This window comes from Homo sapiens, chromosome 1, assembly GCF_000001405.40.
Source record: "Homo sapiens chromosome 1, GRCh38.p14 Primary Assembly".
Lineage (NCBI taxonomy): Eukaryota > Metazoa > Chordata > Mammalia > Primates > Hominidae > Homo > Homo sapiens.
Window position 1 is genome coordinate 88,920,128 of NC_000001.11, and position 12,682 is coordinate 88,932,809.

Genomic DNA, 12,682 nt, shown 5'->3' on the forward strand with positions numbered 1-12,682 from the left:
TGTCACCCAAGCTGGAGTGCAGTGGCACGAACATGGCTCACTACAGCCTCGACTTCTCTGGGCTCAGGTGATCCTACCACCTCAGTCTCTCAAATAGCTGGGACTACAGGTGTGCAACACTATGCCTGGCTAACTTTTGTATTTTTGTAGAGACAGGCTTTCGCCATGTTGCCCAGGCTGGTCTGGAACTCCTGGACGCAGGTGATCCATCTGCTTCGGCCTCCCAAAGTGTTGGGATTATAGGCATGAGCCACTGCTCCCAGCCTTTATTTCCTTAACCATGAGATTGTTGTCACAAATGAAAGGCTAAACATAAGAAACAAATGTTGTTGCTAAATATGAAGGAAACTAGCAAGTGTATAATATGATGAAGTTAATATTGATTAGAAAATCCAATTATTTCTATGGTTTATTCTGATATATCCCAAGATAGCTGTTTGTCAGCAGGTGAACTTCCTATTTAATTGGCATTATTGAGTAATTAGATGTATTCCCAGAGCAGCAATAAAATGAAATTCTCATGTGTCAGTAACATGGTTGAGGTTTTTGTTTTGTTGTTTTACTCTTGAGTTTATCCAACTGAGACCAAGTAGACTTGTTTTATCTGGAAATAATTTTTAATTTAATATTTGGTAAGTGTGTGGTTATATAATTATTTTCATCATAAGAATTATGGAAAAAATTTACAAATGACAAAAATTTGTGATAATTTACCTTTTTCTCATACTAAATCCTTCAAGGCCTCACTGTCTTTTTCCTGGGGTCCTGGAGCCTTCTGACTGGCTTCTCTCTGTGCATTGCAGGACTTTTCCTCAGGTCAACTTATCTTCTAGAAGAGAAATTTGATCTTTGTACCATGTAACCTATATCAGTAATGCATTCATCTGTAAATAACAGAGAACTGTACTACAGTGGCTTAAACAAATAGGGGTTTATTTGTCTCATCCATTACAAGGTAGGGGTAGGTACAGTGGCTTCAAACTGCTTCCAGAGTTCCAGTCTCTTTTCATCTTTCTGCTCTGCCATCCTTATTATATAGACATTCACCCTCATGCTAGCTGTGGCATGAATGGAAGATGGCTGCTTCACCTCCAGGCCTCGCTTCTACATTCTAGGCAGGAAGAAGGTAGAGGGTGAAAAGGACAAAAAGGATTAAAAAGTCTCAAGAAGACTTTGCCTTTTTCCATAAAGGGAAGCCCTCCTTGAGCACTTTTGACTAGTTGCAAAGGAACTGGAGAAATTAGGTACTTTGGTTTTTTTAGCCTTAATAGTATAAGTAGTCAAAGAAGAAGGTAGATATTATTGGTTTTTCAATAGCCAAACCACAGTTTTTATCATATACTCTCTATTCCATAAAAGATCTTCAAAGGTTCATCATTGCTTACAGTGTGAAGTCTATATGTCTTATTATTGTGTAGTATGATGTTGTAGAATGATTTCTTACCTAACTTCAAGAATTTATAGACAACTTAACTTCATTTTTGCTCATGTACCTGTATTAGTCAGGGTTCTCCAGAGAAATAGAACCACTAGGATGTGTAGATGTATAGAAAAAGGCTTATTTTAAGGAACTGGCTCACCCAATTATGGAGACAAGCAAGTCTAAAATCTGCAGAGTGGGCTGTCAGGCTGGAGACTCAAGAAGAGCCAACATTGTAGTTCAAGTCTGAAGGCCATCTGCTGATAGATTCTCTTTAACTCAGGGGAAGTCAGCCTTTTGTTCTATTTAGACCTTCAACTCACTGGGTGAGGCCTATCTAAATTATGAAGGGCAAGCTGCCTTACTCAAAATCTACTGATTTAAATATTAATCTCATCAAAAAACGTCCCCCTGTAAACATCCAGAATAACATTTTATCATACAGTTACACACTGTGGCCTAGCCAAGTTGACAGAAAAAATTAACCATCACAGCACCTAAATTAAGCATGACTGAGGGCTGGGCATGGTGGCTCATGCCTATAATCCTAATACTTTGGGAGGCTGAAGTGGGAAGATTGCTTGAACTCAGGAGGTCAAGACTGCAGTGAGCTATAATTGCACCACTGCACCACTGCACTGTAGCCTGAGTGACAGAATGAGGCCCCCTCTCTCTCTAAAAAAAAGCATGCTTGAACACCAGGAAAGAATGACTGAGAAAGATGAGCCCAAAGGGGTGACAGAGACAATACCATGCAGGGTAGTATAGGCCCTGATGAGGAAAGAGCAGCCTTTATATGAAGAGCAATAGAGATTACTGAAGGGTTTTAAATCACTTCAGACAGGGATTCCCGACCTCCAGGTGGCAGACTGGTACCAGCTGGTGACCTGTTAGGAACTGGGCTGCACAGCAGGAGGTGAGCGGTGGGTGAGCAAGCATTATTGCCTGAGCTCTGCCTCCTTTCAGATCAGTGGTGGCATTAGAGTCTCATGATCCCTATTATGAACTGTGCATGCGAAGGATCTGGGTTACATGCTCCTTATGAGAATCTAACTAATGCCTGATGTTCTGAGGTAGAACAGTTTCATCCCAAAACCATCCCCCTCCATCCATGGAAAAATTGTTTTCCATAAAACCGGTCCCTGGTGCCAAAAAGGCTGGTGACTGCTGACTTAAGATGTTTGCTCACCTATTTCCTCCCATCTTTATTCTGACCCTTCTTCCAACCAATGTAGTTTGTATGGAATTGACCTCAAATTGGCTTAAGACATTTAGCAAACCTAATCCCATTGGCCACAGTGATTAGTTCAGGGATGGGTCAATAAGACACAGTATGCCATTTGCTGGAGCTTCTGAGAAAGTGTCCTCTTTTGCTGTGTTTGCTAGAGTAACTATGTGATGCTTAGAAACTGCTGCAGCCATGTTGCTATCACTAGAGGGGTAATCTTAAGGTAACACTGACACACGGAGAAGACAGAACTGTGAAATGGAGCTTGGTGAAAGATTATAAACAGATTCCTGTATCAAGCTGTAACTGAAACTCTTCTACTCCTAAATCTCCAGTTGAGACAGAAAATTGCCATTTATTAGATTCAAAACCATATGACTTAGGCTTTCTATGCCTTGCAACATGAATATTGTTAATTAATATATGTCAAGTAATCACATTTTCATTTTAGAAAGCTTATTTTGGTCTGTAGGGATAATGGATTGAAAGACATAAGGTAGGGAGACAAGTCCCAGGAATATTAAGTCACAGTTTAAAAATTTCCTTGGTTTACAAAGATGGTGCACCTCCATTTCCAAGTTCTGGGCTCTTGCTGTTGCAGGGCGGAGTGTGGCTGCCAGGAAGCCACCCCCCGACAGCCTGTCAGAGGAGAGCAGTACTTTGGACCTGCCATAAGCCTGTATGTGAAGGATTATGTCCTGCAGAGATGCAGCCAAGAGGCCAACAGCAAGGCTTTTAGTTCTGTGAAATTCCATTCTTTTCCTTGCTTTTCTGATGTGGATCCAGACACCAGGAGCCTAAATACTAAACAAAATGACTCTGGGACCACTGAGAACTTTTGATTTCACCTTTCTGTGTAAGGCCAATCAGAGACCGTAGAAGAGGATAATGGACTTCAGAAATCTCTGGATAAATTCTATGAAATGTTTGGATATCCAAAGCTAGCCTCTGGGAATCCATTCTCTGCATCTGTCTGCCAGTGCCTGTCTCAGAAAATCCCTCAACTAAGAGTCCAGGAGAGCCAAAAGTATGCCCTCTATAGTTTTCAAATGTCCCAGGTCATCTTTAACTGCGATGGCTGCTCAGTCTTGCAGAGGGACATCCACTTCTACTCACTGGAGGAAGGAAGTACATCTGTAGATGATGAAAAACCAACCCAGAACTTTCAAAAGATATTAATTTTCTCTTATGGCAGAATTCAACGAAAGACCCAAAACTGGTGCCTGGCGGTGAGCAGGGAGTATTGGAGGTATAGGTTGTGACCAGTACTGTTTGCAGCCACCCAGATCCCCTAGGGTCTCTTGCCAGCTCACTGTGTTCAATCTTAACTAAGTGATTTGTGGTTAAAGGCTGGCACCTGTGACCTGGTGTTGGAGCCAGTCAGTCCGTATAGAAACCAGCAGGGTCTGGGGGTTTTATGTGCCTGTGGCCACTCCACCTCCCACTCCCCTTGGCTGAGGCCATGGACTGACAGGGTTAGGAGTCAAAAGCCCAGCTCCCTTCACAAGGAGGCACACACTCTGAGGCATAATTTATACTCCATAGGTCCCTCCCCTGGCAGTCAGGCCAATGCTGGGACTTACATGAAATCACACTCTTGCTGGGCTTCATCCCTTTCCCCATCCTCCTCCCATTATTTATGGGTGTGTCTGTGAGCCTTTCCTTAATAAACCTCTTATATCTGAAAAAAAAAATTCCTTTGTTCAATATTGCACTATTCACCCACAGACCTCATATTTAAAATCCATTTCCAGGCAACTGCCTTTGGGTCCCCTCCCTTCGTATGAGAGCTCTGTTTTCACTCTATTAAATCTTGCAACTGCACTGTTCTGGTCCGTGTTTGTTACAGCTCAAGCTGAGCTTTTGCTCGCCGTCTACCACTGCTGTTTGCCGCCATCGCAGACTCGCTGCTGACTTCCATCTCTCCAGATCCGGTAAGGTGTCTGCTGTGCTCCTGATCCAGTGAGGCACCCATTGCTGCTCCCGATTGGGCTAAAGGCTTGCCATTGTTCCTGCATGGCTAAGTGCCCGGGTTCATCCTAATCGAGCTGAACACTAGTCACTGGGTTCCATGGTTCTCTTCCATAACCCATGGCTTCTAATAGAGCTATAACAATCACCGCATGGCCCAAGATTCCATTCCTTGGAATCCGTGAGGCCAAGAACCCCAGATCAGAGAACATGAGGCTTGCCACCATCTTGGAAGCAGCCCGCCGCCATCTTGGGAGCTCTGGGAGCAAGGACCCCAGGTAACATTTGGTGACCACGAAGGGACTTCCAAAGCGGTGAGTAATATTAGACCACTTTCACTTGCTATTCTGTCCTATTCTTCCTTAGAATTGGAGGAAAATACTGGGCACCTGTCGTCCGGTTCGTCTGTCTGGAGCCAGCTTCCACTTTCAATTTTCTTGGAGAAACCAAGGGCCGACTAGAGGCAGAAAGCTGTCATCCCGAACTCCTGACATTAGCCGGTTGAGATCATGGCACAGCCAGAAGTCTCTACAGTCGCCCATGCGTGTGCCCCTACCTTTCCCTCTGACCCATACCTCCTGGGTCCCGACCACGACTTTCTTGAAAGTGTAGCCCCAAAATTCTCCTTACCTCTGAATCTGCTTCCTCTGATCCCTGCCTCCTAGGTACTAATGGTTCAGACTTTCATTTCCTCTAGCAAGCTGTATCTCGAAAGGGATCTAAGGAAGCTCTACGCTGTGTCCTGAGGCATCTAGACATAAACCCAGGGAGTCTTATCCCTGGTGTCCCTCCTGATTTAGGTATACAGCTCTCGATATGGGCAGTTATGTGGGACCCGTTCCCCACCACCCTTGCCAGGGCCCCAAGTTTGTAATGGCTAAGAGAAGAGAAAGAGTGACAGAGGAGAGAGAGATGGAAGAGAGAAAGAGAGATGGAAGAGAGAGAGAGAGAGAGAGATGGAGGAGAGACAGAGGAGAGAGAGACAGAGGAGAGACAGAGGAGATAGAGAGAGAGAGATAAAGAGGGAGTCAAAGAGAAAAAGAAAAAGACAGAAATAGTAAACAAACAAACAAACAAAAACCAGTGTGCCCTATTCCTTTAAAAGCCAGGGTAAATTTAAAACCTATGATTGATAATTGAAGGTCTTCTCCCTGACCCTATAACATTCCAATACCACTTTGTTGTCAGTGTAAATAAGGGCGTAGCCGAAAGCACTGAGGCCACCGACAACCAGTAGCCTTCCTATCAAAAATCCTTAACCCAGGAACCCGCGGGTGGCCCAAATGCATTCAATCTGTAGCAGCAACTGCTTTGCTAACAGAAGAAAGTAGAAAATTAGCCTTTAGAGGAAACCTCATTGTGAGCACACCTCACCAGTTCAGAACTATCGTAAGTCAAAAAAGCAAACAGGTAGCTTACTAACTCAAAAATCTTAAAGTATGGGTCTATTCTGTTAGAAAAAGGTAATTTAACACCAACCACTGATAATTCCCTTAACCCAGCAGATTTCCTAACAGGGGATTTAAATCTTAATTACCATACAAAGGTCCGACCAGACCTAGGAGGAACTCCCTTCAGGACAGGACACAGGGTCTCGCTCTGTCACCCAGGCTGGAGTGCAGTGGTACAATTATGGCGCTCACTGCAACTTCAACTTTCCAGGCCCAAGCAATCCACCCCCCTCACCCCCACAATTAGTTGAGGGTACAGGTGTGTGCCACCATACCTGGTTAATTTTTCTTTACTTTTTGTATAGACAGGATCTCACTGTGTTGCCCAGGCTGGTCGCAAACTCCTGGGCTCAAGCGATCCTCCTGTCTTGGCCTCCCAAAGTGCTAGGATTACAGATGTGAGCCACCACACCTGGCCCTGACCGATAGATGGTTCCTCCCAGGAGACTGAGGGAAAAACCACAACGGGTATTCAGTAATTGATAGGGAGACTCTTGTGGAAGCAGAGTTAGAAAAATTGCCTAATAATTGGTCTCCTCAAACGTGGGAGCTGTTTGCACTTAGCCGAGCCTTAAAGTACTTACAGAATCAAAAAAGACTATCTCAATCCTGACTCAAAAGGTTACCCACACCCTCTCTGAAACAAATTTGCATAAGAACTGTTGTTTATGGGAATGAATCTTGATGGGGCAGCTGGGTTGTTATGAAATACTCAGGAACCCAGCCCAGCTCTAGGACTCACCCCTGAGCACAAATGCAATGTTGGGCACGCTGGTAAAGGACCACTAGAATCCAGCAGCCCGGACCCATTTCTTTGTGGTCAAGAAAGACGGAAAAAGGGGTGCAGGACTGCTACATCGGTAAGCGTAACTAATCCGATAAGCAGAGGTCCATGGGTGGTTACGCACCCTGGAAGGGAATAAACATTAGGACCATAGAGGACGCTCTAGGACTAATGCTCATCAGAAAATGACTAGGGGTGCTGGCATCCCTATGTTCTTTTTTCAGATGGGAAACATTCCCCCCAAGGCAAAAACGCCCCTAAGATGTATTCTGGAGAATTGGGACCAATTTGACCCTCAGATGCTAAGAAAGAAACTACTTATATTCTTCTGCAGTACTGCCTGGCCACAATATCCTCTTCAAGGGGGAGAAACCTGGCCTCCTAAGAGAAGTATAAATTATAACAGCATCTTACAGCTAGACCTCTTTTGTAGAAAAGAAGGCAAATGGAGTGAAGTGCCATATGTGCAAACTTTCTTTTCATTAAGAGACAACTGGCAATTATGTAAAAAGTGTGATTTATGCCCTACAGGAAGCCCTCAGAGTCTACCTCCCTACCCCAGTGTCCCCCTGACTCCTTCCCCAACTAATAAGGACCCCCCTTCAACCCAAATGGTCCAAGAGGAGATAGACAAAGGGGTAAACAATGAACCAAAGAGTACCAGTATTCCCCGATTATGCCCCCTCCAAGCAGTAGGAGGAGGAGAATTCGGCCCAGCCAGAGTGCATGTACCTTTATCTCTCTCAGACTTAAAGCAAATTAAAATAGACCTAGGTAAATTCTCAGATAACCCTGATGGCTATATTGATGTTTTAGAAGGGTTAGGACAATCCTTTGATTTGACATGGAGAGATATGTTACTGCTAAATCAGACACTAACCCCAAATGAGAGAAGTGCCGCCATAACTGCAGCCCGAGAGTTTGGTGATCTCTGGTATCTCAGTCAGCTCAATGATAGGATGACAACAGAGGAAAGAGAATGATTCCCCACAGGCCAGCAGGCAGTTCCCACTGTAGACCTTCATTGGGACACAGAATCAGAACATGGAGATTGGTGCCGCAGACATTTGCTAACTTGCGCGCTAGAAGGACTAAGGAAAACTAGGAAGAAGCCTATGAATTATTCAATGATGTCCACTATAACACAGGGAAAGGAAGAAAATCCTTCTGCCTTTCTGGAGAGACTAAGGGAGACATTGAGGAAGCATACCTCCCTGTCACCTGACTCTATTGAAGGTCAACTAATCTTAAAGGATAAATTTTTCACTCAGTCAGCTGCAGACATTAGAAAAAAACTTCAGAAGTCCTCCTTAGGCCTGGAGCAAAACTTAGAAACCCTATTGAACTTGGCAACGTTGGTTTTTTATAATAGAGATCAGGAGGAACGGGACAAACGGGATAAAAAAAAAAGGGCCACCGCTTTAGTCATGGCCCTCAGGCAAGCGGACTTTGGAGGCTCTGGAAAAGAGAAAAGCTGGGCAAATCGAATGCTAATAGGGCTTGCTTCCAGTGCGGTCTACAAGGACACTTTAAAAAAGATTGTCCAAGTAGAAGTAAGCCACCCCCTCGTCCATGCCCCTTATGTCAAGGGAATCACTGGAAGGCCCACTGCCCCAGGGGACGAAGGTCCTCTGAGTCAGAAGCCACTAACCAGATGATCCAGCAGCAGGACTGAGGGTGCCCGGGGCAAGTGCCAGCCCATGCCATCACCCTCACAGAGCCCCAGGTATGCTAGACCATTGAGGGCCAGGAGGTTAACTGCCTCCTGGACACTGGCACAGCCTTCTCAGTCTTACTCTCCTGTCCCGGACAACTGTCCTCCAGATCTGTCACTATCCGAGGGGTCCTAGGACAGCCAGTTACTAGATACTTCTCTCAGCCACTAAGTTGTGACTGGGGAGCTTTACTGTTTTCACATGCTTTTCTAATTATGCCTGAAAGCCCCACTCCCTTGTTAGGGAGAGACATTCTAGCAAAAGCAGGGGCCATTATACACCTGAACATAGGAGAAGGAACACTCGTTTGTTGTCCCCTGCTTGAGGAAGGAATTAATCCTGAAGTCTGGGCAAGAGAAGGACAATATGGACGAGCAAAGAATGCCCGTCCTGCTCAAGTTAAACTAAAGGAGCCCGCCTCCTTTCCCTACCAAAGGCAGTACCCCCTTAGACCCGAGGCCCAACAAGGACTCCAAAAGATTGTTAAAGACCTAAAAGCCCAAGGCCTAGTAAAACCATGCAATAGCCCCTGCAATGCTCCAATTTTAGGAGTACAGAAACCCAACGGACAGTGGAGGTTAGTGCAAGATCTCAGGATTATCAATGAGGCCGTTGTCCCTCTATACCCAGCTGTACCTAACCCTTATACTCTGCTTTCCCAAATGCCAGAGGAAGCAGAGTAGTTTACAGTCCTGGACCTAAAGGGTGCCTTTTGTGCATCCCTGTACATCCTGACTCTCAATTCTTGTTTTCCTTTGAAGATCCTTCGAACCCAACGTCTCAACTCACCTGGACTGTTTTACCCCAAGGGTTCAGGGATAGCCCCCATCTATTTGGCCAGGCATTAGCCCAAGACTTGAGCCAGTTCTCATACCTGGACCCTCTTGTCCTTTGGTACGTGGTGATTTAATTTTAGCCACTCGTTCAGAAACCTTTTGCCACTAAGCCACCCAAGCACTCTTAAATTTCCTCGCCATCTGTGGCTACAAAGTTTCCAAACCAAAGGCTCAGCTCTGCTCACAACAGGTTAAATACTTAGGGTTAAAATTATCCAAAGGCACCAGGGCCCTCAGTGAGAAACGTATCCAGCCTATACTGGCTTATCCTCATCCCAAAACACTAAAGCAACTAAGAGGATTCCTTGGCATAACAGGCTTCTGCCAAATGTGGTTTCCCAGGTACGGCGAAATAGCCAGGCCTTTATATACACTAATTAAGGAAACTCAGAAAGCCAATACCCATTTAGTAAGATGGACACTTGAAGCAGAAGCAGCTTTCCAGGCCCTAAAGAAGGCCCTAACCCAAGCCCCAGTGTTGAGCTTGCCAACAAGGCAAGACTTTTCTTTATATGTCACAGAAAAAACCGGAATAGCTCTAGGAGTCCTTACACAGGTCCGAGGGATCAGCTTGTAATCTGTGGCGTACCTGAGTAAGGAAATTGATGTAGTGGCAAAGGGTTGGCCTCATTGTTTACTGGTAGTGGCAGCAGTAACAGTCTTAGTATCTGAAGCAGTTAAAATGATACAGGAAGAGATCTTACTGTGTGGACATCTCATGATGTGAATGGCATACTCACTGCTAAAGGAGACTTGTGGCTGTCAGAAAACCGTTTACTTAAATATCAGGCTCTATTACTTGAAGGGCCAGTGCTGCGACTGTGCACTTGCGCAACTCTTAATCCAGTCACATTTCTTCCAGACAATGAAGAAAAAAATAGAACTTAACTGTCAGCAAGTAATTGCTCAAACCTGCGCCGCTCGAGGGGACCTTCTAGAGGTTCCCTTGACTGATCCCCACCTCAACTTGTATACTGATGGAAGTCCCTTTGTAGAAAAAGGACTTCGAAAAGCAGGGTATGCAGTGGTCAGTGGTAATGGAATACTTGAAAGTAATTCCCTCACTCCAGGAACTAGCGCTCAGCTGGCAGAACTAATAGCCCTCACTTGGGCACTAAAATTAAGGGAAGAAAAAAGGTAAATATATATACAGACTCTTAAGTATGCTTACCTAGTCCTCCATGCCCATGCAGCAATATAGAGAGAAAGGGAATTCCCAACTTCCGAGGGATCACCTATCAAACATCAGGAAGCCATTAGGAGATTATTATTGGCTATAAAGAAACCTAAAGAGGTGGCAGTCTTACACTGCCAAGGTCATCAGAAAGGAAAGGAAAGGGAAACAGAAGGGAATCGCCAAGCAGATATTGAAGCCAAAAGAGCCGCAAGGCAGGACCCTCCATTAGAAATGCTTATAGAAGGACCCCTAGTGTGGGGTAATCCCCTCCAGGAAACCAAGCCCCGGTACTCAGAAGAAGAAATAGAATGGGGAACCTCATGAGGACATAGTTTCCTCCCCTCAGGATGGCTAGCCACCAAGAAGGAAAAATACTTTTGCCTGCAGCTAACCAATGGAAATTACTTAAAACCCTTCACCAAACCTTTCACTTAGGCATTGATAGCACCCATCAGATGGCCAAATCATTATTTACTGGACCAGGCCTTTTCAAAACTATCAAGCAGATAGTCAGGGCCTGTGAAGTGTGGCAAAGAAATAATCTCCTGCACTGCAGGCCATATATTTCAATCCCTCTATCTTTAACCTCCTTGTTAAGTTTGTCTCTTCCAGAATCGAAGCTGTAAAACTACAAATCATTCTTCAAATGGAGCCCCAGATGCAATCCATGACTAAGATCTACTGCGGACCCCTGGACCGGCCTGCTAGCCCATGCTCCAATGTTAATGACATTGAAGGCACCCCTCCTGAGGAAATCTCAACTGTACAACCCCTACTATGCCCCAGTTCAGCAGGAAGCAGTTAGAGTGGTTGTTGGCCAACCTCCCCAACAGCACTTGGGTTTTCCTGTTGAGAGGGGGGACTGAGAGACAGGACTAGCTGAATTTCCTAGGCCAACTAAGAATCCCTAAGGCTAGCTGGGAAGGTGACCACGTCCACCTTTAAACACGGGGCTTGCAACTTAGCTCACATCTGACCAATCAGAGAGCTCAGTAAAATGCTAATTAGGCAAAAACAGGACGTAAAGAAATAGCCAATCATCTTATCACCTGAGAGCACAATGGGAAGGACAATGATCGGGATGTAAACCCAAGCATTCGAGCCAGCAACAGCTACCCTCTTTGGGTCCCCTCCCTTTGTATGGGAGCTCTGTCTTCACTCCTGCAACTGCAAAAAAAAAAAAAAAAAAAAAAAAAAAAAGCCATTTCCTCCCTCTCCCCAACTCAGGTCTCCTCATCACAGCTCAATGGAAAAGATAATGATTCTGTCTCTTGAATCACCCAGACATGGAGTTTCCCATGGTAATCTTAGGGCTGTTGGACCAAACTGTGGAAACCCTCACTCCAGGGTGCACGCAGAAATTCTAGAAGCCCTGAGGTTGAGGCTGACATGCAAAGCTTCAATGATCACAGCACTTGATTCTAGTATTACAGAATACTGTCTACTGAGAGCTCTAGCTCATTCTTTGAAGGCACTGTGAAGAAACCCTATGACAACAGTGTTGATGAAATTCATTCATGTTATTGTGTGTAGCTGTACTTTGTTAATTTTCATTGCCATATGATATTCCACTGTATGAATATTGCCCCCTAAATTATTAGACTATTGATTGATTAGACTATTGATAGACTATTAGACTATTGATACTACTGTATGAATATGCCCCCTAAATTATTAGACTATTGATTGGTAGACTATTGATAGATTAGACTATTGATAGATAGATATAAACAAATGGGTTGTTTCCCATTTGGAGTAATTATATACAATGCCGCAACAGACATTATTACTATTATTATTTTAAGACAGGGTCTTGCTTTGTTGCCCAGGCTGAAGTGCAGTGGTGTGATCACAGCTCACTGCAGCCTCAACCTCCTGGGTTCAAGCAATCCTCCCCCTCAGTCTCCCAAGTAGCTGGGACTATGGGAGCACACCAACATGCCTGGATAATTTTTAAATTCTTTTTTGTGGAGATAAGGTCTCACTATGTTGCCCAGGCTGGTCTTGAACTCCTAGCCTCAAGTGATCCTCTTGTCTCAGCATCCCAAAGTGCTGGGATTACAGGTGTGAGCCATGGCACCAAGCTGGCATTATTTTACA

General features: G+C 44.7%; 1 protein-coding gene and 1 pseudogene across 2 annotated transcripts in view; one reads left to right on the forward strand and one right to left on the reverse strand.

The window, feature by feature from the left end:
* Positions 1–916: 916 nt before the first annotated feature.
* The window catches only part of KYAT3 (kynurenine aminotransferase 3), a 71,917-nt gene continuing 60,151 nt past the window's right edge, over positions 917–12,682 (reverse strand). For both annotated transcript variants that reach the window (NR_146185.1, NR_146183.1), the window contains one exon: positions 917–1,111. The gene's annotated coding sequence lies outside the window, so the exon portion shown is untranslated. The remainder of the gene's footprint in view (positions 1,112–12,682) is intronic.
* Positions 3,261–3,858, forward strand: LOC100130455 (shieldin complex subunit 1 pseudogene; annotated as a pseudogene).